Source organism: Homo sapiens, chromosome 20 (assembly GCF_000001405.40).
Source record: "Homo sapiens chromosome 20, GRCh38.p14 Primary Assembly".
In the NCBI taxonomy this organism is placed as follows: Eukaryota; Metazoa; Chordata; class Mammalia; order Primates; family Hominidae; genus Homo; species Homo sapiens.
In genome coordinates, this window is record NC_000020.11 from 24,783,920 (window position 1) to 24,810,341 (window position 26,422).

At 52.6% G+C, this 26,422-nt stretch overlaps 3 annotated features.

Moving 5' to 3' along the window:
* Positions 256 to 325: an enhancer, noted in NCBI's record as "active region_17646". NCBI's record gives its function as "activates an Ori minimal core promoter by ATAC-STARR-seq in GM12878 lymphoblastoid cells {active_cell/tissue: GM12878}" and the evidence as "EXISTENCE:reporter gene assay evidence [ECO:0000049][PMID:35858748]".
* Positions 5,558 to 6,059: an enhancer, noted in NCBI's record as "H3K4me1 hESC enhancer chr20:24770113-24770614 (GRCh37/hg19 assembly coordinates)". NCBI's record gives its function as "activates a minimal SCP1, AML or CMV promoter by ChIP-STARR-seq in naive H9 embryonic stem cells {active_cell/tissue: H9 hESC(naive)}" and the evidence as "EXISTENCE:reporter gene assay evidence [ECO:0000049][PMID:30033119]".
* Positions 24,921 to 25,421: an enhancer, noted in NCBI's record as "H3K4me1 hESC enhancer chr20:24789476-24789976 (GRCh37/hg19 assembly coordinates)". NCBI's record gives its function as "activates a minimal SCP1, AML or CMV promoter by ChIP-STARR-seq in naive H9 embryonic stem cells {active_cell/tissue: H9 hESC(naive)}" and the evidence as "EXISTENCE:reporter gene assay evidence [ECO:0000049][PMID:30033119]".

The following is a 26,422-nucleotide window of genomic DNA, read 5'->3' on the forward strand; positions in this document are numbered from 1 at the left end:
AAGGATCCACTTCCAAGCTCCCTCGGGGTGTCAGCAGAATGCATTTCATTGCATCTGTAAGACTGAGGGGCCTGGCTTCATGCTATCAGCTGGAGGCCACTGTCAGGCCCTAGAGGCTGTCTGCAGTCCCCTGCCAGGCAGCCCCCTCTCTATAGGCCTTCTCACCTCGTGGCAGGTTGCTTCCCCAAATCCAGCAACTGAGAAGAGAGCAAGTCTGCTAGCAAGACAGTCTTAAATAAATAATGTAACATAATCACAGGAGTGACATGCCATCACTTTTGTGTATTCTAGTTAGAAGCAAGGCACAGGTCTCATCCGCTTTCAGGGGAGAGGACCACACACAGACGTGACCACCAGGAGGAGGTCCTGAGCCATCTTAACGTCTGTTCAGCACACACACCTACCTTGCCAGGCCCTCTGAAAGCCACCTGTGCCTCCTGCTCCAGTGCCCCACAAACCAGCTCTGCCTCTTCTGCTTTGCCTCTCCTCAGATCGGGGCAGTAGTGCCTTCTCTTTAAGGCTGTTGATGGAAATATGGGAATGCAATACTGGGCACAGAGTCAGTGCTCAATAAACAACAGCTATTAACACTAGGATTGGGTTGAACTCAAGTGGAAGACCACTCCCAGCTAATCTAACAAGAGAGCAGATGCTCAGGTGACACCCTGACTCTCTAGTTGTGCCTTAAGTCAGTGAAATAAGCACAGTGACTGGTTATGCTGGAGGTCTCAGGACAATGTTCCCCACCACACAGCCTGAAATGCCCAGCTGGGCACTACATGCTCTTCCTGGTGCCAACATCTGCTTGACCATTTCCTTATTTTAGAGTCTTTGTATTAGAATGGTGTGTTTGAGTTCTGGTTTCCTGACTAGCTTTGACACATCCGGTATTTTGTATCAGGAGCGGGTTTCTAATCCACACAGATGTGGCCTGGAGAATCATGTGATGGCAGCTTCTCTCACTTGTTACCCTCTGCAACAATTTTTTTTTTTTTTTGCTTCCCATTGACACAGCTTTAAGCTCAGCTGTTTTGGAGGTCTTAGCTCCCCAGGGAAGAATGTTCCACCAAGAAACCCAACAATAGTTTCACTGAATTGGATATTGAGACTGCCACCTAGTAATCTGTGCTCCTTGTACACTGACCCAACAGTTTCACATAAGAATAACATGGAAATTCCAATGTGGCTGAAGAGAGAGAAGGACAGATGTGGACACAGAGAAGGTCAAGACATGGGACAACCTCAAGGGAAAAGGAGATCTAAAGACTGAGGGGCTAGTCCTCAGACATGATGGTGCCAGTAGCAGGTGGGGTGTTACTGAGCAGACTCCTCCAGCCGTCCCAGTGCAGGCACAAGAAATGGCTCTGGCAGTGACTGCCGGGGAAGTGGGGAAGGCTGGGGCCTGAGAGTGGGCCCTCTGTTCGGCCACAGCCACTCCCTCACCTCAGGGCTATATCCCAGTGAAGTTGACATCTCACTCATGACCCTGACCTCATGTCATAGGGATGTGGGGCATGTCCTCCAGTACCTACTACCCCCCAGGCCACCCCCTCACACCACAGACAGCCTCAGCTTAGATCCACGGAGAGAATAGCACCAGCGTCCAACACAGCAAACAACTCTCAAATTGCTTCTCTCTGACTCTGTGACATCCTGTCTCATTTGGTCTAATGTGAAAATTCATCTGCACTTCCTGGATATTAACCATCTGCTGCTGGGAGGCACATGGAGTTGCAGGCAGGTTGGCCAGGGCTTGGGACCAGCGTTCCACACACATTCCTTCTCAATTCCTCATGAGAAGGAGAGGACGGGCACTGGAATCACCAGAATGCCTAAGCGCCCCTCCCACGTGGAGTCCTCATCAGGCTTCAAAAGCCAGACTTGAGGTACCCACTCACCCAAGGGCACAGGGATCAGTGGAGGGAATGGGCCCAGGCTCTGACACGTCTTTCTCCTTTTGAACCTGGCCTCCACCCTCTGTCAGCCAGAGGCAGCTGATTGCACAAAAGCACTTCTAGGAAATCCTCTTCCCTTCTCATTTTAAAGGCAGAGGCGCAGGCAGCTTCTGCAGTCACTCCTTGCTCTTCCTCACTCATGGAGGGTCCAGAAATTGATTGCAGGACAACTGGCTCTTTAGTTCCAGCCCAGAGGAGACAGTAACAACCCAAGATTGGCATCTGTGGAGCACCCATGCCCCGGGTGCTGTCTGGTGTTGTCCCCTCAGCAGCCCGGTGAGGGGAGCAGTTATCAGAGGTGACATGGCTGCCCACACTGCAGGGCTAGCAAGAGACAGGATCAGGACAGCGCACTCCCCTGCCCTCCAGGGAGAAGAACCACCGAAGCAGAGGAGGGAAAGTGAGCCACGGGGCCGATGGGGCCGCCCCAAGGACCAGATGCTGGTGGGCATCCGGCAGCCAGCACCTCCTCTCTCTGCCCAGGGGCTTTCTCTGAAACCTGGAACCTGCTCTGCCCGCAGACAAGGCAGCCACAAACATCCCTGGGAGTGGGCCTGACCCAGGGTAGACAGGAGTAGCGCTCCCTCATGCCTCCCCCAGGGCCTCCCCGTCCCCCGAGGCCCCAGCAGGATTCAATCCCAGTGACCACAGAGCTAGGTGGCTGACTCCCACCCTCACTCGCCATCACTGCCCCTTCCTCCCTCACTGCCCCCTTCTCCAGCTGCTTCCTGAGACCCCTTCCAGACCAATGCTTCATCCCAAAGCCTGTCTTGGGGTCTGCCCTGGGCAAATGCAGCCTGAGACACCCCCTTTCTGGTGGGCTGGCCAGACCATCTGCCTTCACTGTGGGCTCACAGCCCACTCACAGGACAGCCCTGGGCCCACCGTCCTCCCGCATCTCCATGAGAAGCAGGTCTCCTCCAGGCCCCTGACTGACCCCACAGAGCTGCTCAGAGAGCACTCGGGGCATGAGGGCCTGACAGCGGCATGCTCAGGACCCAGCGGCTGCTGTGTGCTCCATGACCTTTCCCGGGAGTCCCCTGCAGGAACCTCACCCTATATGGGTTGCCCCCGCCCAGCCTCTTCTCCCCACCTCTTCCTGTGCTTCCTGGGATCACCTTCCACATAAACTGCTGTGCCCAAAGTCTTGCACCAGGGCCTGCTTCTGGGGAACACGGTTGTGTTAGGGTGGAGGGTCCCCTGGCACTGGCTGTGAAGTCTCTGCGGTTCAAGCTGGAACTGAATATCAAAACCCCCAGAAGTGAGGTGCTGCTGCCGGCCGTGTAAGCCTGCTTATCCCTCTGCTTCCATGATCAAGTCAAGGCTGATACCCTCTCATGCCTCCACAGGAGCCCCAAAGCAGGGAGTGCTGCCCCAGGCCACCACCCAGTGCCCCTCTCAGGGACATCGCCGCCGGGCTGGTGGATGGAGGCCATGACCGCTCTTGATAAAGCCGTTGCATGGTGGGCAGTCTGTAGGAGCTGACTTACCCTGGGAGAGCAGCAGCCCCCACAGCAGTGGGCCCACGCCCCATGACATCCAGAGTCCTTCTTTGCACATATGACCACACATTCCTCCCCATACATTCGCCCCCACCTCCAGCCCTTCTTCCCCTCCCTGACACAAGCATCACCTTTAAGGTCTTTCCTGTGTCTCTTTCTCTCCAATGCAGGAGGACTCCCTCCCTCCATGTCTCCGTTTCACTGGTCAAGAGGAAACAGACACTATTTCTAGAGTTAAGCATGTGTGCACCAGGCTCCGGAATCCTGCTTCAATAGCCCTGGGTGATGGGTATTTGTGTTGCCTTATTTCAGAGTTGCAGTAACTGAGGCTTGAGAAGTTTCTGTACCTCACACCAGGGCACATGGCTGGACTTAAATGCAGGTCAGCCTGACCCCTGAACCCAGAGTGTTCAGTAGGACACCATGTCACGTGGTGTTAGTTACATGCAGAGCAGAGGCTACAGGAGCCCGGGCCCCAAAGGGAGTGATGTCTGATGGAGAGCTAGTTCCATTCATGGCCAGGGAGAACCTTCGCCTTTTTGTGCCAGAGACTCCTCTGCGGGTCAGGTGAAGCCTACCGAGCCCTTCTCAGAAGGATGCTCCTAACACATTACCCAACATGCGTCGCCTTACAATGTCAACCAACTATACTGAAGTGGTTATCAACACTGTTTTAATAGCTTTTGCGGTACAGGTGGTTTTGGTTACATGGATGAATTGTACAGTGGTGAAGTCAGGTTTCAGTGCATCTGTCACCTGCGTAGTGTACATTGTACCCAATATGTAGTTTTTCATTCCTCATCCCCCCCCAGCCTCCCCCTTCTGAGTCTCCGATGTTCATTATACCACTCTGTGTCCTTTGCATACCCATTACCCATAGCTTAGCTCCCACTTATAAGTGAGAACATGTGGTATTTGGTTTTCCGTTCCTGAGTTACTCTACTTAGAATAATGGCCTCCAGCTCCATCCAAGTTGCTACAAAAGACATTATTTCACTCTTTTTAATGGCCTGTTAGTATTCCATGGTACATACATCCCACATTTTCTTTATCCACTCATTGGTCGATGGGCACTTAGGTGGGTTCTATATCTTTGCAATTGTGAATTGTGCTGCAATCAACATCCTCGTGCAGGTGTCTTTGTGATGTAAGACTTCTTTTCCTTTGGGTAGATACTCAGTAGCGGGATTGAAACAATTCGTGACTAAGACTCCAAAAGCAAATGTAAATAAAACAAAAATAAATAAATGGGACCTAATTAAACCTTCTGTACAGCAAAAAATAATAATAATCAGAGCAAACGGACAACCTACAGAATGGTAGAAAATATTTGCAAGTCATCAACATGTTTTTTTTGTTTTGTTTTTGAGACCAGGCTGGAGTGCAGTGGCACGATCTCAGCCCACTACAACCTTCACCTGCCAGGTTCAAGTGATTCTCCTGCCTCAGCCTCCCGAGTAGCTGGGATTACAGGCATGCATCATCACACCAGGCTAACTTTTGTATTTTTGTAGAGATGGGGTATCACCATGTTGGCCAGCCTGGTCTCGAACTCCTGACTTCAAGTGATCCACCTGCCTCGGCCCCCCAAAGTACTGGGATTACAGGCGTGAGCCACTGCGCCCAGCCACTCAAAATGTTTTTAAATACATGTGTGATGTGTTAATATATGTGCTCCTTTACTAACATCTTAAGCAGCAAGTTCACTGGAGGATCTAAGAATTACTAAAATTTCAAAGTCCCAAGATGCCTGCAACCACCATCCATCCACGATAAAAAAAACCCTCTGCAATGTCCGTGGGAAAAGTCACCATGGTGGAACTCAATTCAGAATCAAAAGTAACGCAAAATCTGAGTTTGAAGCTAGTAGAAATAAAGATGAAATTTGTTTTCCTTCCAAGTTCACAGTCATCTGAATTTTACGCCCAGCCCCTCAGGAATCCATGAACCCCTGGTTAACATTTCCCCAGACATGGGATCCCTACCCCAGCTCCTGCCCAGGGTTTAAGTCGTCCCCTCCCTTCGACCACCATGGTTAGATTTCCTCTTTCCAGTGGTGCAGAAAACAGCATAGCCATGGGGATCTGTTGCAATCCTCTGAGTCCCTGGAAGTCTCCCCACACCCCCTGCCCTCTGCTTCAGCTCCTTCCTGTGCCTTGCATAAGAATTCCGGGCACAGCCAGGCAGGGCATGGAGGGAAAGCCTGTGCATTAAAAACATAGGTTTGCAGGCCAGCTGCATCACCTGGAGATCTGTGTAAGGCCCAGGAATCTGCATTTAAACAAGCCCACAGGTGAGTGCATTGCATAGCCTAGGGGCCGTATTTTGGGGAACACTCCTGCAAATTCAGTGACTTCCTCCCAGTCCCAAGCCCTCTCCTCCAACGTCATACCTTAACCCCTTCAGGCAGGAGACCCCCTGCTGCCCCCAGGAGCCTCAGCCCCAGAGATTCTGCAGTGTCTAAGTTTTCCACAGTCGCCAATCTCCACGGCATGAAATGCCTTGACTGTGCCCCTCACAAGCAGTCCCAGAGCCCTCCCTGCAAGAGGAGATCCAGGCAGTGACTTGGATGGCAGAGGATGGCTGGCTGTTTCCTCCAGAGACAAGGCTAAGCCCAGGAGAGCACTACCCAACGGCACAGGCTCAGACCGCATTCACCCTGCAGGGAGGCTGAGCTTGGCAAGGGAGAGGGCATCAGAGCCTGGCAGGAAGCCACAGGTTCTGCTGTGCTCAGCAAGGAGCCATCGGGGTGGGGACAAGCAGGTGACCCAGGGGCCTGCCAGGGAGGCTGACAGAGCTCCGTGGAAGATGTAGAGACTTTCTTCTTTGTTAAGCCAAGCCTGGAGGTAGAGCACTGATGGGTGGGGGAGGAGGAGTGAGGGGAGGAGTGAGGGGGAGGAGAGGAGGAGGAGTCAGAAGAAGGAATGTCCTCCCAGCAGCTACCATTTTCTGAGCCTTCCACCCCCTGACTGTGCACCTACTGCAGACTTTATATACATTTTCCTCACTTCACCCTCAAAATACACATGTTACAGAAACCTAAGGAATCAAAGGGTTAATCCTTGGCCCAAGGCCCACAGTGTTTCAGGTGCAGACCCAGACATTGAGCCCGGGACTGTGGCTCCACTTGTGCAGGAAGCAGTAGAGGCTTAGCGGGAATTCGGGGTGCATGCGAGGGGGACCTTAGATTCTCAAGTCCCACGCAGAACAACACTGGATCATTATGAGCCCCCAGAACCCCTCTGAGAACCATCCTGCCCGAGCCCTTTAGGGAGCTCAGATCCCTGAGTCCCAGGACAGAATGACACTGGATCATCATGAGCCCTCAGAACCCCTCTGAGAACCATGAGCCCTGCAGGGATCTTATATCCTTGCATCCCAGGCAGAGCGACACTGGATCACTTTGAGCTCCCAGAACCCCTGAGAGCTGTTCTGCCTGAGCCCTGAGCGCAGGTGCCACCTTGCCCTGCTCTGAGCAGCAGCGTGGAAGGGCTCTGAAAAGGAAGCTGTAGTTGGTCTGAAGCTGCCCCTCCGTGCCCAGTGGAGTCAGCTGACCAGCGCTGAGTTCTGGTGCAGAACTCGCAGCACTTTCCTGCTGTGGGATCTGTAGTGCATGCCTTACAGCCTCTGAACCGCCTTGCAGAGATGATGAGGCTTCCTGCGGGGCTGTAGGCCGTAGGCCACCCCTCCGCCAAGCTCTGGCCCAGCATCACAGAGAGAGAAGGTCGCAGCCAGGGGGACCCAGAGGCCAACGTGGCTCCCTTTCCACTCCATCTCCCGGTTAGAAAGTTTTTTAAAGAGTCAGTTCAAAGGTTTTTGGTTTTTGTTTTTTGTTTTTTTTCTTGTTGTTATCCTGACAGAATTTTCATGGACTCTTTTGATCCACATAAAGCAAATTGAAAAGTGAATAACCTGGTTTGGCCTCATATTTATGAAAGGAGGAAACAGCCAGCTTTCTCTAAAGCCTGCACTTGACCTGATGTAAAGGAATAAGAAAAAAATAAAGGAGGGGATGAGGGGAGAGAGGGAGGAGCATGCTTTGAAGTTGAGAGGCCAAAAGGGATGTGTGATTAGCTGGGCCCTGAGCACGTTAAAGAAAATTAATCGTTCAGTCTATATTTAAGGCTGGATCATAATTTTGCTCTTCCACAATGAAAAGAGCTCACACTCTTTAGCTGTTGGCCTAAATTACTCAAGAGACCAAGACCTGGAAACAACTCTCCAGCTCATCTCAGAGCCAGAGACAGAGACCCCTGCTCCAGCCACAGATGGTGAGTTTGATAACCACCCAGGATTCTAAGAAAGGGAAACTATCATGCTCATCTGGAAAGTAATTGCCAAAGAGTGTCCCCTGAGTGTCCTGTCCTCCTCCTGCCCCAACCACTAGGCAGGCAGATTCTGGGGGAAAGTGAGAGAAGAAGCATAAAGCAGTACAAAGAAAATAGAGAAGGACATTCCTGCACCGAAAGAAGAGAGGTGGTTTTCTGGAAAGCGTCGTAAGAATAAAAAGCAGCTTCTGGCTGTGCGTGCTGGCCGTGATAAATGGTGTGCACATGCCAGTCGTGGATTTGCGTGCCTAAAAAAGTGTCATTGCCCAAACATTTCTTCTCAAAGTGTTGTCTCCACTGGTAAAGCAAGGCTGCCTCATGGCATCTAGCTGCACTTAAGTTGGTGGGATGGGAGGAGAGGCATCACACCCACAATTTCCATTGACACCAGTGCCCCAGACCTTGCATGCCTGCTCACATCCCATTGGTCAGAAGCAAGTCACATGGCCACAGATAAGTGCAAGGGAGGCTGGAAGATGTGGTCTCCAGATGTTGGCCACACCCTGGGCAAAAGGTTTTTTTGATCAGGAGACACCAGAGTCACTTTTTAAAGCTAACATCATCTCGGTAGCCGGCATTAATGGGAGCTGCTCCTTTAGCAGGGAGAGCATGGCTCAAGACCCTAGGCTGTAGACATGGTCATGTCACAGCTCCAAACAGCCAGTGACTTGGCATCCACAAATCCTCCCCTCCCATCTAAACCAAAGGAGGTCGTGAAACCAGGATGGGGGAAGACACGCGGGAAGATGAGAAACCCATGTCTTCAGGTGCTGAGCCAAACTTGGGAGTGACCCCTGCAAACAGAAAGCCACTGCCCACCCTCACTGCCACCACTCTCGGCAGCCTACAGAGGAACCTTCCTGAAGCCAGAGGGGCTGTAGGAGCAGCAGGGTCTGGATGTGATCTGAAAGTGTCCAAAAACCTCTGTAGACAACTGCGTACATTTAAAAAGGAAAGAAAATCTTTCTTCTGTGAAAACCTTGATTTTTATGCCAGGCGAGTATGAGGACCTCTATTTAGAGCCATGTCTCTCCTGGGGGACGCAAAGCCCTGGCTGCAAACCAAGGCTTCCCCGGAGCCAACCGGGAGCCAGGGGTGACCGCGGGCAGCCCCTTGGGCAGCACTGCAGGAGAGACCACCTAGGGCCGCAAGGACTGGCAAGGGAGCAAACACTAACCACCACCTCTGGGTAGGGCAGCTGGGCACGGATGCTCCCATCACAGAGATGGAGACCCAGGACAGGGCTTGAGGTTTGCAGCTGCTTCATCGGGGAAGGAGAGGACGTTCACACAGGGAGACTCGGGTCCTAGGCAAGCAGGGCATTGAAAAGAAAAGGCTGGCATTTGCCACGTCATAGGAAGTGATGGAAGCTTCGCTGCAGGGAGTCGAGCCTGAGCCCTACCCCTGTGGTGCAGCTGAATATTGAGTGCGGGAGGTGGCAGCAGTGGCAGCGTCCCAGAAGGGTCTAACAGGTCATGAGACCCAGGGCAGCACAGTGGAATCTGGCGGGGATTGTCCCCACTGTGGTGAGGATTGAAGCCATGCGGGAGTCAGCAGGCTCACCCAGCAGGAAGAGAGGAAGGCAGGGGCAGGAGCCTGCATTTCCACCGACCACCGTGAACATCTCCCTAAGTCCCCCAAGGCACCCTCTTCCGGTCTCAGGAGCACCTCACCCTGCAGAAAACGTTGCTCAACTTAGAAAGGCTGTCAGCAAGGTGAGCCCTTGGCTGGTGTCTGGGCACTTGGATTTCCCGATCATTCCCAGGATAGATACAAGTGGATCCCTGTGTCTACACTGTCTGTACAGCAGTGAGGTTGATGCTGAACCTCTGCTCTCCTCTAGGAGTCTGGAATTTCGGCACGTGTCAGACAGAGGCTTCCTTCATGATCAGCCTCCGGTAAAATCCCTGAGTTCTAGGTCTTAATGAACATCCCTGACAAGCAACACTTCACACGTGTTGTCACAGCTAGCTGCTGGGGAACTAAGCACGTCCTGTGTGATGCACTGGGAGAAGATTCTGGAAGTTCCACTCACAGTTCGCTGCTGGCGAACTAAGCACGTCCTGTGTGATGCACTGGGAGAAGATTCTGGAAGTTCCACTCACAGTTCACTGCTGGCGAACTAAGCACATCCTGTGTGATGCACTGGGAGAAGATTCTGGAAGCTCCACTCACAGCTCGCTGCTGGGGAAGTAAGCACAGCCTGCGTGATGCACCAGGAGAAGATTCTGGAAGCTCCACTCACAGCTCGCTGCTGGGGAACTAAGCGCAACCTGTGTGATGCACCAGGAGAAGATTCTGGAAGCTCCACTCACAGCTCACTGCTGAGAACTAAGCACAGCCTGTGTGATGCACTGGGAGAAGATTTGGGAGCTCCCACTGGGTTTGCTCCAGACTTCGCCATGTACCTTGTGCCTTTGCTGGCTTTGCCCTGTGTCCTTTGTCATAAGCCACAGCTGTGAGAGCCACTGTATGCTGAGTCCTGTGAGTTATCCTAGCGAATCATCAAACCGGGCGGTGATCGTTCAGATCCCCAACATAACACCCCAGCCCTCGTGCTCCAAGGAGAGTCTGTGCACCCCCTACCCTCCCCCCTACCCTGCCCCCTCCCTGCCCCTTGCCTCCTGGTCAAATGAGAGTCTGTGCCCCACCTCCTCCTGGCCCAAGGAGTGTGGGCCCTGAGGCCACCAAAGGCTGTTTCCTTTGGAAGCCCATGCTTAGGCTGTGGCCTCTCAGGTCCCTACCTGACTCCTCCAGCAAGCTGCCCCATGAGGGACCCACTCTCCTGAGGCCACAGAAGCCCTCCCAGCTGGGACAGATCCTAGAGCTTGCTAGCAGGGTCTGGAGAGGTCGGCTATGAAACTTCAGCCTAAAGGAAAGCACCAACCTCCTTCCCCAGCACTGCTCCCAAAATGCAGCCCAGAAGCCTCTGCACAGAGAGACCCCTGCCCAGCTCCAGCCTTGAGTGAAGCAGGTGACACAGTGAGGGGCCTCAGCCCTTCCCAAGCCACAGCCCAGCCTTACAACAGACATGCTAGTACAATAACCCAGAATATTCGCCCCAGAGAATATTTGATGTGTAGTAACAGGGGAATCACCTCAGGAGTTTCCGGCAGAGATTCTGGAGAAAGCATCTCAATCCCACTAGAGTGCGGATTAGGCCCGGTGTCCCACCCACCAGGCACCCCCAGGAGTGAGGAGTGGACACCATTGTGAGTCCCAGACCAGGCATGGCCATGCTGCTGATGTTGGGTTGATGGTGGGAAGAAAAATAATAGTAAAGTAAAAGGGGTCGGATTTCACTTCTCCTGCACTTTATGGAGACCAAGGCTTCCAGCCCCAGCTAATGGACCAGACCCTGGAGGCAGCTACACTCCCCACAAAAGGAAGACACTTTGGAAATAGTGTTGTCCCAACAGGGCCCAACCTCCTACTCACCCCAAGCCCCTTCAAATAGAGAAACTCCATTTTCCTAAAGGATTCACCAAGGCCCAAAACCACCCTTGCCCGTAGTTACAAATCACAGCCATTGCCCATCACAGAGTGGGGTCTGAGGTCAGCATGGCCAGCCGAGCTGTCAGCAAGCCCCAGAGTGTCCTGCTAGAAAGACCTGAGGAATCTGGTCATCCCTGGGGTTCCCAGACTGCTGGATAAATATCCTGGGAACTTCCAAGTGATGTGTATAAATTAAAGGGGAAAGAAATCATCCATCATCTGGAAGCCCCACAAAATCCTCTGCATGGCCCCTGGAAGAGATCTTGAGCCACCCCCGCATCTTCCATGTTGGAGTGGGTGCTGGTCAGGTCCCGCAGCGGTAGCTCTGTGGCTCCCCCTGCTCCCTTTCAGGAACAGCCATGTCCAGGGCATGGCCAGCCACAGCCAACTTCCCCTGCACCGTGTGCAAGTTGGGAAAGGAAATGATCTCACTGAAAGCTGTGGCTTCTAAAAGAATGACTGGAAAGAGAGGGAGGTTGGTGGTCAGGCACAGCTGGGGTAAACTTTGCTGCTGGCCAGCCCCGCTGTGAAATCTCAGCAAAGGACTTCACCTCATCCGCCTCAGTCTCCACATCTCTAAGCAGGAAAACCCCCTCCTCGCTCCCGATGGTGGAGGAGACAAAATGAAGCTCAGCAGATGACTTCACGCCCACGTCACACCCGATGCATCGAGTCCACATTTCCAAGCAACTTCCAAGAACACTGGTTCCACCCAATAAGGGGTCTGAGTTTTAGAGTGGGGAAGAAGGAAAAGAGGATCTTAGTCAATAAATTTGTTAAACTCGAGGCTAAACTGTGCTAAAGAGATTTCTTCAAAGCTGCAGTTCTCTGGGCCTTGAATTCAGGAATGTTAATTTTGAGTCTACAGGAAGGAGGGTAGAGTAGAGAGCATTTCATAAATATATTTCACTGTGGAACCCTCTCTTATGGATGGTGCTTATTAAAATCTTGCCAAAGCACAAAAATCATCTGGAAAATTAAGCCATTTTTTGAATAATTCAGGACTGGCTTTGCACTGTGATACATAATGCTATTAATTATTAAATAAGGTTTAATTACCAAGTAGTATAGATTCCTTTCTTTTGTCCAAACATATGGCTGCCATGGGCCATGCCGGCTCTCTCAGCCACGTCCCTCCCTTTGCCGAGGGGCTTTCAATGACAGCCACATGCACACGAATGGGCAAGTGACCCAGGCTGGGACCCTGGTGACCCACCACCTACACACTGCTTGGTCCAGAGGTGGCTCTGCTCCCATGCAGGGCCAGTCGCCTTCCACAGCGTAGCTACGTGACAAGTAGGGAAAGCCTCTTTCTATCAGGACAGTGGCCTGGAAAAAGACATCAACAGCAGGGTGAAGAAGCGACCAGACCCAGAGGGAAGCTGAGGGCAGTGGGGGTACAGGGGACCCTGACATCTTTGCGTCCCTAACTGTTGCCACCTCTAGATGCAGCCCTGAGCCTCCCAGTTACGAGAGTCATGACATCCCTTTTTATGCCTACGTTGGTTTTAGTGGAGTAAGTTAAGCAGCATGTAAATGTTGAACTGGCATGAGTGATTTGGGTAACCAGGTCATCATGCACTGATATTCTCACTCCGTAACTCCTCGATTCTGTTGCCTTAAACCTTCTGAGAACAAGACAGGAAACACATAGTCTTAACAGTAGTGTCAAAGTCAAATAAAATTGTAGAGATAAATTTTTAAATCTCATGTTTTATTTGAGAAGGAAGAATTGCAATTTGGGGCACACACACAGACCAGGTGGTATTAGTCATGTAAAAAGTACAAAGAGGAGGTTGGAGGTTTTATAAAAAGGAGAAATATCATGTACTGATCTTTGAGAAAGTTTATTGGCACTAGTAAAGCTTTGGGGAGTTGACAAGCTCTGGTTGGTGAGTGACGGAGGGTAAAATTAGTCTTAGATTTGCAGCAGGTCCCATTAGATAAAACTGATTTCAGGTCACCACAGGCAGTTTCAGCAGTCAGGCTTGCAGGGAATTATATTTCAGAGCAATGTTATGTGACCTGAGTGCTTTTTGCCTCTGGCTCCTTGACTCTGTTTTGGTTGGGTGTGACAAGAATGACCCAATTCGTACAATCAACATTCACAGTAGCAGCTAAGTCATAAGATTCATGTTTTGCTTCCTTGCATATTTTATAGTACCTGACCCATTGCCTTGCATGGACTCCGGGTTCATTAAATATTCATGGATTACGATAACAATGCCGTTTCTGAGCAAAGCATTCAGTAAGGAACCTTGAAGGTGAACGTTCTCACCATTATCTGCCCCCCGGGGACTCCAGGCTGGGCTGTGCCATCCTGCAAACCCCCAAATCATCCTTCAGGATGCAGGAAGAACATGCTGGAACTTCTATTTATAGCTATTTTAAGCTGCAAACATATCTATTAGGCTTCACTAAGATTTAATGTGATTAACAATTACACACATGTATAACTTACGAAATGCATGTATCTGGGTATAGCTGGGAGTTTTTCGGTTTTGTTTTTGTTTGGTTTTTAATTGATGGGGCAGAGTAAAAATGCAGGGAGTGCAGCCTTCTAATAACCAGAGCTTCCAAAGTCCAGAGGCCCAGTTGGCATAGGATGGTCCCTGGATAACCCCAATTCTCAAAGTGGGATCCCTGGACCAGTTCATCAGCATCTTCTAGAACCTCCTCAGAAATGCAAATTCTTGAGCTCCACCCCAGACTCACTGAATCAGGAACTCTGGAGGTGGGACTTGGGAGTCTGTGTGGATGAGCCCTCCAGGGAATGCTAATCAGCTCAAGATTGATGACCTCTAGATAGCCAAGGCCAAATTCAGGTCCATGCACATATTGCCCAATACCATGTCGAAGGCACCCCGGTGACCTATGTGAGCAAACGTGTTCGGTTCATATCACTGTTCTTGTAGCCCATGACTAAGCTCACGGGGAGGAGTGTGGTGTGTAGTGCAGCCTCACTACAGCCCTGTGGCAGCTTCAACACAGAGATCCCAGTTTCCTTGACACTCCGGCCCACATGAGATGGGGTCTGCCTCCCTCTCCTTGGATCTAGAGGGCTGTGGCTTCTTCGACTGGCAGAGCATGGCAGAAGTGATGCTCGGTGACTTCTGAGGCTGGGTCAGAAGAGGACACAGAGCTTCCACTTGGATCTCCTGGGATACCTACTTGTGGGACACTCCCTCTTAAAGACCATCACTACCCTGGTTTCAAGGCTCAGCCCGACGAGCGGCCATGGGAGGTGCTCCACCCGCAAGCTGAGCCCAGGCCAGGAGCCGAGCGTGGGAGGGAAGATGCTCCCTCGGAAGAGCCCTCAGTCCCGGATGACTCCACCCCACTCGGTCTTCTCAACTGAGGACCCAGAATCATGGAGCAGAGACAAAGCTACCCCTGGCCCTCAGCATCCGTGCCCATAACACGATGAGTGCAGGTTGCTTTCCAGCCCTAAGTTTGGGGGATTTTGTGTAACAGCAATAGATAATTGGAACCTGCAGTCTCCAACACACAGCCTGAGAGTGAGGGCTTCTCCTAAGCGCTCCACAAAGTGTGCAGCAAAGGTGGGTGTCGGGGCAGGTGCAGAGCTTCATCTTCCAGCCCTAGAGTTTGGGACCTTCAAAATGTATCTAGTCCACCCCCTCCCTTTACAGAGAACTGTGAAACACAGAGACCCGTGGTGACTCAGTTAAGCTCCCAGGATGAGCCAGCAGCAGAGCTAAATGAGACCCCAACACAAGACAGCTCCGGAAAAGTTCACAGACTGGAGTGGGACCAGCCCAGGTTTGAATTCCAGCTCTGCAGCTATGAGCAATTTTCCAAGCACCATCTTCATTACAGCACCAAGAAGGAGATCCAATTAAGTGAGATAAGGATCACTGCGCAAAAGGCAGGCCCTGGCTGGTACCATGGCTGCTGTCACTGTTCCCGCTACTGTCCCCCACCTGGCCGGGGTGGGTGGACCCATCCCAGGACTTTTTGTGGATGTGAGTTTAATTGAAGAGCCCAACGCTGTGTGGCTTCTCTGGCCTGCTGTGAAATCGCCCAGCCCACCAGGGAGCTGATCCGATGAGTTCCAGTCCTCAAGTGTTCCCTGACCACTTATGCCCTGACTCAGCACCACTGTTATTTAGGGCATGCACAGGAATTAACCAACTGCTAAGACAGGATGGAAATCCTGGAAAAGGAAAACAAGGAAATGTAGAGATGGCTTCCCTCCTGCCTCTGAGGCCCTCTCATGCTTCAAGCGGAGCTGTGTCCCTCCACCCTTGGCCAGCATGGGACCCACGCTGACCCCAGGCAGGGGAACACAGCAACAGAGAGCAAGCCGCACCGTGCATGGCACACCACACTGCCACTGAGCCCACTCTAACCATGTGGCCCAGCTCCAGAGGTGGACTTTTCCTTGTGCCTTTGGAGGAGCCTCTGCCTTCTTATCCCTTCCAGACCAGGGTCTTGCCTCTTTCTGCAGCTCGGTATTTCCGAGAGCAAGAACATTCTCCTTCAGTGCCTGATGCTGCCCCTAGATCCTTGCTGCCCAGTCTTGGATTTCACTGATGGCAGTTATCAGTTTACATTGGCTAGATTTAGGTTCAAGTGGCACAAATAGCAGTGGCTTAAACAAGATTGTCATGCATCCTTTGCATAAAGGAGGAACAAAGATAGGCGTCCCTTGGCTGATGAGTCCAAAGTGTCAGGGACTTGCCTGTCTTGCTGCCCCACATACTGGGACAGAATAGCTGCTTAATCTCCAGCCATCACATCTACATTCTAGGCATCAATAAGGAGGCAGTTTTCTGGAAGTGCCATAAAACACTTCTCTTTACATCTCATGGCCGGAACTGAGTGGTATGGTCACATACAGCTGTAGGGGACACAGAAAATACGAGAAGGTAAAAGTGGATGAGGGACAGCCATCACCATCTCGCAGTGGAAACCCAGGCCTCTTATTTGGTGTTGTGCTCTGTCTCCTGTTCCTAGATCGCCCCCATGCCAACCGCCCATGTCAACCTCTCCTGGTGGAGCTACTGGGACCTCCCCGGAGCCCAGGACCAGTCCCTGAGGGTCTTACTGTGCTCGGCTCCAAGCCTTCTCCAAGCCAACTCGAGCTGGTAAGGAAGGGGCCAGTTCAGAGCCATGGAGTCAGGTGAGGGAACAAGAAGCCCTTTCTCAGCCTTGGAGGGTGGGGGCTGCACTCCATCTTGGCTCCCTGAGATCCAGGTGACCCCGGCTTGCCCACCAGGCAGCAGCTGCACACCTCCTGTTCCATCCTCCACCCACACCTGCTTGGGAGTAGAAGCAGACCAAAGTCAGCCCCACCCCCGCCCTGCAGACCCATGCCAGTGGACCGATGGTGTCACCTTAGCAACTTGCCATGCAAACGTCTGACGAACGCCAGCTCCCCTCCATCCTGCCAGCTGCCACTTTCCACATGCATGCCACTTGCCCAGAGTTGGCCACATTTCCCATATGTGTGAAGGAAGCAAATCCCTGGACCCTGAATCTGTATCTAGGGTAGGGCCTAGGAATTAGCTGTATAAGAAGCACCCTCAGACCTCATTGTCATAAAACAAGATATCTGTGCAATTACCTTCACACGTGACTCCGCAGACCTCTCACAGCTCTTTTTGACAGGTCAGTACTGCCCGGCATCCTGCCTGGAGTCATAAAAATCCCCCAATTGCCCATTCTGTAACCGTGAGCTGCTGTCAGCCTCTTCTCAGTGAGGAACTGACTTGACCCTCATTAGCAACTGCCAACTTAGTAAAGCCCATAAGACTATTTAACGCCCTCCACTACCAATTAGTTATGAAGTGCCCCAAGAAGATGTTCTCATAATGCCCGTGGCTTGCATGGGTGCCCCTGGTGTATGTCAATATATGGGTCAAAGAGCCTTGATAATTTCACAGGATACCCCAAAGTTCACTTCATTAGCAAGCCTCATGCAAAGCAAGTCAGCAGCAGTAGCAGAGTAATTAGCAGCTCTAATTGAAAGACCAGCTCCCTAATAATCCTGCAGAGCCTGGCATCTGGGTCTCGTTGCTCCTAGAAGGCAACTCAAGCTGGTAAGGAAGGGGCCAGTTCAGAGCCATGGAGTCACCCCACACACTGGCAGCCCCGCGCTCCAGCACCCTGCTCAGAGCCAGGCAGGGTCGCATGTGAAAAATCTGTAACCCTCCTGTTTACTGCCTGTTTGTCCAGAGGCCCTCAGGAAGGTCCTGATTACAGAAGGGCTTTGATTTTTTTCCCACCCATGCTGTTTGACATATTTAACTTTGCAAGTATAAGATACATAGAAAACACAAGGCAGAAAATAGCTGATAGAATCACTCCTGTGTCTCCACACTACTTTGGGGGTCTCTGGTCCCATTTCTTGTTGGGTCAAGGTTTTTCTTGATTGGCGGGGTTGGGTTTTAGACACAGGAAGAAAAGTGAGTGGGTGGGTCAGCCTCTGAAGCCTCTCCAGCCTGGCTCTCCTTATTACTTTGGCCCCAGACATTTGAAATCACAGTGTCATAAAAATTGACTGTTGCTCTCTACTTGGGAAGCAAGCTATAGCCCTGCCACCCTGCCCTCCTAGTGCCTGCTGCCACCTTGGAACTTAATGAGGCTTCTAGCAGCGAGTTCTCTCCTGCCCTCCACCTATGCCTGCCACACGTCAGGGTCCCTGCAGGACTTGGTGTCCACAGAGGACATGGAAGGCCAGGGGGCCTTGGAGAAGGTGCTCAGGGAACCAGTTAGCCACCTGACACTCAGCAGCACTGTCTTCCCATCCCTGGAGCCTTCTCTGACCACCGAGGCCTCCTTGACAGCCCCAAAACCTCCCTCCGAAGCCCTGGAGCCCCTGCCTGTGCATCACGTCACCCTTCCCAGCTCTGCGGGTCACTACCCTGTTCCCTGCTGTACCCCTACACCCCACACAGTGCTGCTGCAGGGCAGAGGAATGGAGGGCAAATACCCTTGTGAAGTACTCCCTGAGTCCTTTAACCACCATCAAGATCTGTTTAAGGGCAGCAGGAAAACCCAAGAATAAATACTACAGGTGAAGAAGTTATTTGTATTAAAATAAACATATTCAACTCTGCATATCCAACACACCCTCTTCCATACTCATCCCAACACTACTCGGGTGTCTGTGCATATGAACCAGCTGATGTCGACCCTCCCGATCTGCAAGCAATCTCACGGGCTGGGTCTTAGGCGTCCACACCTCAGCCATCTGACCTGCAGCTGAGAGGCTATCACCAGACACCTCCCTCCCGGGGCTGAGACCATGCCATTGTTATCTGGGGTCAAAGCAGGTAGAGCCCAGTGCGGGGAGGGTGGGGCTGAGGGACAGGCTGGGAGAATGGGACCCCGACCCTTGAGCCAGAAACCTGGGGCCCTGGGCCATGCTCCTGGCCCTCATCCCCTTAAAATGCCACAGGCCGAGTGGACAAGTCTGCCAAATGACCCCAAGAGGGACAGCGCCCCAGGACATGTCCCAGGGGCATCAGTAACAGCCTCTACTGCCCCCACCAGCTCCAGGCTGCTCAACCCCGCCTGACCCCACCCAGCCCTGGTCCTCTAAGACCAAGAAGGATGCTGGGGGCTGGGCCCACACTGTCCCCTGGTCCCCAGTCTGAAGAGGTGAGAGGGGGAGAAGGAAGGTGCAGCAGTCCCTACAGGTAACCAAAACGATGCTTCTGTTCTCACCCAACCCGTCCTGTGGGGGAATGGGGAGGGGGTAGAGGGCTCAAGGGAACAGCCCAGCCCCAGGATGATTACCATCCTCTCCACCTTCTTGTGTGTTTGATAATTTTACAATAAAATGTTGGGGTAGAGGGGAAGTATGATGAATAAAGGCTAGCCCTGAAGAATGAATATCTGTCCTAACCTTCAACTGAGCGACAAACCGTCCCATGGCCATGGCAAGGAGGCCTGGCCCTTCAATGCGTCCATCTGGCTTGCCAGCCAGAAGGGAATCCTGAGGCAGTAAGATCTGCCAGCCAAACACTGTATAACAGAGGTGTTTTATCTCTTCCGTGCTCAGGCAAGGTCGTTGGATAGGAAGCGTGACCATGGGAATGCTGGGATGTCCAAGTGTTTTCTTAGTGTGGCGAGTGGATTTTCAATGGAATCCTTTCATCTTGTGAACTCCCACACAGGCGTCCACTACAGAAACTGGGGAAAGGCATCCCAGGTTTCTACAAGGAAGAGCCTGGAATTCTCTGCCTGCCCTCCCTGCAGGAGGCCTCCAGCAACACCAGTGAGAGCCACTGGCCTGCAGAGGCCTCTGCCCTTCGACACAGGGGCGTGCGGCTCGGCTGCCTCTCAGGCTACCTGGCACCAGGTCTGGAGGCATAGCTGCCTGGGCCAGCCAACCCCACCTATATTTCATGGCCGTTGGGGGGCAGGCATTGCGTGGTGTCCACATGGACTCCAGGGGTCACGACAGCAAAGATCCAGTTCCTTGAAGCTGCCAAAGGACACAGCCAAGCAGAGGTTCTGCTGAGCAGAGGCCCTGTCCATCCTTCTCAGGGCTTCCTGTGAGCCCCAAATCCCCAGGGCCCTGGACATCCACACAGGTGCCCCTCAGCCCCACTCCACCGTCCCACACATGTTTGGAACAGGAAATTGTGTTTATTTGTTTGTTTGTTTGTTTGTTTGTTTTGACATAGTTTAGCTCTTGTTGCCCAGGCTGGAGTGCAGTGGCATAATCTCTGCTCACTGCAACCTCTGCCTCCCAGGTTCCGGTGATCCTCCTGCTTCAGCCTCCTAAGTAGCTGGGATTACAGGCACCCACCACCACACTCTGCTATTTTTTTTTGTATTTTTTAGTAGAGATGGGATTTCACCATGTTGGCCAGGCTGGTCTCGAACTTCTGACCTCAGGTGATCCACCCGCCTCAGCCTCCCAAACTGCTGGGATTACAGGCATGAGCCACCTCACCTGGCCCGGAAATTGCTTTTTATGTGACACCGGGACTGAAATGCATCTTCCTTCAACGCTTCAGTACACTAGTCAAAATAAACACAGTTCACTGACATTTCCATTGTTCATAACAAAGCCTACCTCTGGAATACAGGCTCTTGGTTTAGGGTTTTGGTTTTGAGCCGGCTACCAGGGAATTCAATCAACCCTAAGTCCACAGGCTCAGAGCCCTGGAGACCCAGTGGAGCAGGGATACAGGGAGGGTTTTTCTCTTCCCAAGATGGAAAAGTGCTGGTCTGTGCATGTGTTCTGAAAGATGCAGTTCCACTGACACCTTCTCCTGCATCTCGAGGAGCTTGTGAATGCACACCCAGTGAAGAAAGACCCCCTTTCCGAGCTGCATTCAGATGATTCATGCATTCAGCGTGGGGAAGCCTGAGGCTGTGTCTGTGATGAGTGCAGACCTGTAACCACAGCAGCATCAAGACCAGGAGCTTTGGTGCATCTGGGCCCACCTTGGCCCCTGGCAGCACTGCTGGCAGGAGACCCGAGGGAGGCCATGGCCTGGCACACCTGCCAGACCTGTACAGAGAGCCCAGCACAGGCGGAGCAGCCCTGGCTCCGTCACGGGCCTGCCTGAAGCCCCAGCAAGCAGGAGGAGCTGGAGAACAGAGCACTAAGGCCTGGGTCAGGATTCTTCTCCTCATTGTGCTCATCTGCAAAATGGGGCTAAGGGAGGAGGCCGCACGTTCTTTGTTTGTGGAGCACCTGCCATGTGTGCTGCTCCTGCAGCTGAGGAATCCACTGTAAAGACCACAAGTTCACTTCCACCTCACAATACCCATCCCCCAGAGATTCTCAGCTTGTCCCGCACTTTCGAAAGCTCTTCTGTCGTGACCTATGAGTAGAGAACAGTGAACACTCTATCATTATGGTTCAGACCAGGACACTTTCGAGAGCAGAAACACTGCCATTAGTCACAGCGCTGGGGCAGCAGGCACGAACAAGGACTGTCCTGAGAAGTTGGTGTTGTCCGAGCCTGGGGCTTTGGAAAAGCCCTCTACAGCCCGAAAGCTCTCCCCTCCTTTTCTGTAGGACCTTTATCATGGTGCAGAGGTGTTAATGCCATAATCAGAAACGAGGCTTATAACACAAATACCCCTGGGAGAGGTCAGGAGCTGATCTGAGTTCCTGCCCACACTCAGGCTTTGATTGGCAGGGTCAGGGGGCACATAGTGAGAGAGGCACAGGGCCGGCCTAAAGGGAGAAATGCTGCGGATACACGAAACTGAGTCTGAAGACAAACCCCAGCCCCCTCCAGCCCCGAGTGCACTTACCTCTCAAAGTGTTTAGAGCCACCTGGCCCATCAACAGGAGTATTTGAGATCAGTGAGAAGGTTCTGTCCATCCGTCCACACATGCTGGCATCTGAGCCTGGAAAGCAGGCCCTCAACCCTTCATTCCATGTGGCCTGAGGCTCCTGGCAGGCTGTCAGTTCTTATGGGGACCTCTGGCCTCAAGGCCCAGCAGGAAAAGCAGAGAGAGGCCACTTGCAGTGGGTCGCTGCTGCCCCACCCATGTGTCTTCACCTCCGCAGGCTTTGAAAAGGACACACACGTGTGAAGATAAAAGTTTCATTTAGTCATGAGCAGGTAACTGTGTCCTGTCTCTATTGGTGGAGGATGAGCAGGGCTTAGCAATAACCCTTTTTTAGGCTAACAGTTGCCAGGCCATCCCCACTCTTTGTTGGCTAAACTGTGGATGTCCTAAAGAAAACGGAGGACAAGAGGTTGAAATAAAGTAAACAAGGAGCAGTTAGAGTGGCCTCCAGAACCACCAGCCCAGAAGAGGAACTCTTGTCATTCTTAGGCCTACTCCATGTGCCGCACCCAAGGTCAGAGCCTGCCTGGGACGTCACACACCCGGTGGTTTATTCAGGTGGAACACAAAGGCCTGGCCATTCAGACCCAACTCAAGGCAACTCCCAGGAGTCATTCCGGCTCTAGAGCTCCATCACCAGGCCCCTGTGGCAGTTCTGCACATGGCTCCCCCTGATCCTGAGAGCCCTGCTTAGGAAACGCCTGCATGGCAACCTCCATCTCAGAGTCCACTTCCGGGGAACTTAACCTGCCACAGTAGGCACTCAAAGATGTGCTGACGGGTGATGTACTCAAGATGCCCTGTGTATGCATGCACATATGAATGCATGTGTCTGTGAGTGCAAGTGTGCATATTGCTACATGCACGTACAGGCACGTGTGTGTGCATATGTGTGCACACGTCTCTGTGCATGCTACCTAATTGCCCTGTCTGGCAAAGTCTGGGTCCCCAAACAGAACGAACTGGTAAACATCCCACAGCACCAGCACTTCCCTGTGTCATTTTTCCTGGCAATCCTGTGGCTTTAAAGATTTCAAATATGAAGAAAGTCCCAACCTCCTAAGAAACATCAGTCATGGTAAACCTTCAGCGTCTTGTGTCTTGTTTCACAATGGCTAATTCCCACTGCAGCTGGCCTCACCTGTGCAGGGACAATCTCGCAGCACCAGCTTGAAATTAATGTGAAGATTAATCAAAGGACATCATTTCTCCAACGAAGCTTTGTGGAAATAAAATGGGCCTGTCAGAGCCCAACTTATTACAAATTCTTGATACAGACAAAAGGTGGTAGATTCATCTTGCTGCTCAGGCAGACACTCAGCAAAAAGGTTTTCATCAGCCGCTTCTTCCTAGAGCACACAAATCCGCGTGTCCTCCATGGGACGCAGGGAAGGAGCCACAGGAGAGGCGATGACCTCAGAAAGAGATGGCAGTGTTGCAGTCACACAAACTAAGGACAGCACAGTGCAGGGAGCAGCCCCCTCCCTTCCCAGATGCAGCAGCTCCTGCCAATTTTCTCTGGAGTCCCAGCATGGGCAGCCCTGGGCCCCCACACGCAGGCAGAGCTATCCTGAAGGCCACACCCATTGCCCCAATCAACCAACACCATCAGTGTGGCCAGCCAACGATGCCCAGGCCCCACGGCCCTGCTCCAAGCATTAGTCTGGTTGTATCCTCAGGAAGCTCTGAGTCCAGCAGAGGATCCCATTGAGTCAGCAAGGGGACACTGGGGGCTTCTGAAGCTCAGAAGAAAAGGCATCCAAGTGGCTTGGGAGCTTCAGAGTTTCCTGGGAGAGGGAGCATCTCACGGGACATGGCTCCTGTATGGGGTAGAAGCAATGGTGCAAAGACAGAAAGTATGGGACACATTTGGGAGTGTGGCAGACATCCAAGAAGCTGGTGTGCTTGGAGTGTAGAAGTCCAGGAGGCGTAGCTGAGGAATCAGCTGGCAGAGGTGCCAGGCAGTTGAGGGCGGGGGCCTGGGGCCGGCTGGGGGATCTGCTACTCCATCTCACACCAGCTCACCCTTGCACAACTTAACACAGAGAGCAGTGCACACTCCCAGTCCTGCCGCTGCTGAACGCTGGTCTGCTGGCCACAGCATGCTCTCAACTGTAGGCTGACCTTACTCCACGTGGCCTCTTCCTGCCATTAACATTCTGTCATTCTGTTTCCAGGGGAAAAACTTTTTATTTTTTATTTTTTAATTTTTTTTTAGATGGAGTCTCATTCTGTCATCCAGGCTGGAGTGCAGTGGGGCCATCTCAGCTCACTGCAACCTCCACCTCCCAGGTTCAAATGATTCTTGTGCCTCAGCCTCCAAGTAACTGGGATTATAGGCACGTGCCACCACATCCAGCTAATTTTTGTGTTTTTTGTAGAGACAGGGTTTCACCATGTTGGCCAGGCTGGTCTCGAACTTCTGACCTCAAGTGATCTGCTCGCCTCGGCCTCCCAAAGTGCTGGGATTACAGGTGTGAGCCACTGCCCCTGGCCTCCAGGGGAAGGACTTTATTGTAGCAAATTGTACAATAGCTTTCCAAAAAATACACGAACATAGGATACTTTAATGTGTAAGTACACTCTGGTTTTTTGTTTTTGTTTTTGTTTTTGTTTTCTGAGATGGAGTCTGGCTCTGTCGTCCAGGCTGGAGTGCAGTGGCATGATCTCCGGCCCACTGCAAGCTCTGCCTCCCAGGTTGACGCCATTCTCCTGCCTCTGCCTCCTGAGTAGCTGGGACTACAGGTGCCCGCCACAATGCCCGACTAATTTTTTGTATTTTTAGTAGAGACGGGGTTTCACTGTGTTAGCCAGGATGATCTCGATCTCCTGACCTCGTGATCCGCCCGCCTCGGCCTCCCAAAGTGCTGGGATTACAGGCGTGAGCCACCGCGCCCAGCTCACTCTGGTTTTAAAATGCAAGTTTTGCCATGAGTTGAAGGTAGATTAGCTCTTGTGGTTTCTTCTGCTGTGTAACAAACCTCCTAAACCTTAGGGGCTTGAAACAAATCACTCATTATCCTTCTCACAGACTTGCAGTTTGGACAAGGTATGGCCGCTCTGTGTTCCTTAAAATAGGAGTCCAGTGAGTTTGGAGACCATGAACAATTAATTCTGAGGCTGGCTGGTCTCAGTGGGCAGTGTGCTGGTTGTGGGGGCTGCAGGCTGTGAGATCGCATGGGAGACATGGGCTGTGTGATCATGTGAGGACTGTGGGCTGTGAGATCACATGGGGGCTACGGGCTGTGAGATCACGTGGGGGCTGCGGGTTGTGAGATCCTGTGGGGGCTGCTGGCTGTGAGATCGCATGGGGACTGTGGGCTGTGAGATCGCGTGGGGGCCGTGGGCTGTGAGATCATGTGGGGGCTGTGGGCTGTGTGATCATGTGGGGGCTGCGGGCTGTGAGATCACGTGAGGGCTGCAGGGCACAGTGCAAGGCAAGCTCCTCAGGAGGCCCAGGGCAGGGCTCTGGGGACAGGGTGGGGTGAGGGTCACTAAGGTTGAGGGAGTACACTGATACACCTGGGTTGACATGGCTGTCACAGCCCTGCTGATGAGAGCTGAGAGGAAAATGGAAGGGGGAGAGATGAGGGGCAGAGCTTTGGCAAATTAGACAAGCTGGGCCTGCACACACTTCGTGGGGCCAGGAGGACGTGGCCCTACTTCTGATCTGCAGGGCTGCAGGGCAATGGGCCTCTAGGGGCAAAGCCAAGACTTGGGCACCCCATAAAAGAGGCAGGAGCATCCTGGGAAACGTTGAGGGTGTCAGGGATCATGTTCATGGTGTCACAGGAGCTACCCAGGACTCGGGACCCTTTAGCTGGGGTACAGAAGGGCTTTCACCTCGGGCGGGCACTGAGGTCAGCAGAAACATGAGATGTCGGGGTGAACGAGCACTGTGCTTCCAGCTGAGCCTCCGGTGCTAGGCTCTCTGATACCCAAACCCTCCCTGGACAGCGGCCTGCAGCGCGGGGAGATGGGCGGTGCTGTTCCCATCTCATAGCAGAGGAATGGAGACCAGCACAGGGGGAGAACGTGTCCAGGGCTCCACAGCAGTAGGTGCTGGAGTCCTAAGAGGAAGTGCTGAGCAGTATCACGATTCTCTGGCCTCTCAGATGCTATTCTCATCCCTGCCTCATTCCCAGAACTAGACTCCCTGGGGTCACGTCTCACTGGTGATGCTAAAATCCTAATTCCTCCCCGTCCCTGCACCTGCGACCTTCAGTGTCAATGGCCCTCCCTGGAGCTGTGGGGCGAGATCAGCTTCTTGCGAGGACGCTGAGCGAACATGGTCTCGCTCCTGTGATCTCGGCCCAAGCTGCCTTCAGGCCCTGGTGTGAAGAGACATCACACACACAGAAGGTGACTGATCTGTGGGCTCCAGAAGCAACAAGCTCACGAAGGTCAGGAAAGGCCAGAGAGCGGCTGCAGGTGAAAGGAGGCATGAATGCAGCGTGGGACTCCAAACCTGGACCCTGGCTATGAAGGACATGACTGAGATGACTGGCCACACTCAAGGGGGCTGAGGACGGGCCGATTAAAGTGCTGAAAAGACCGGGCGCAATGGCTCACTCCTATAATCCCAACACTTTGGGAGGCCGAGGCGGGCAGATCACGAGGTCAGGAGATCAAGACCATACTGGCTAACATGGTGGAACCCCGTCTCTACTAAAAATACAAAAATTAGCTGGGTGTGGTGGTGGGTACCTGTGATCCCAGCTACGCGGGAGGTTGAGGCACGAGAATTGCTTGAACCCAGGTGGCGGAGGTTGCAGTGAGCTGAGATCGTGCCACTGCACTCCAGCCTGGGTAACAGAGCAAGATTCTGTCTCAAAAAAAAAAGAGCTGAAA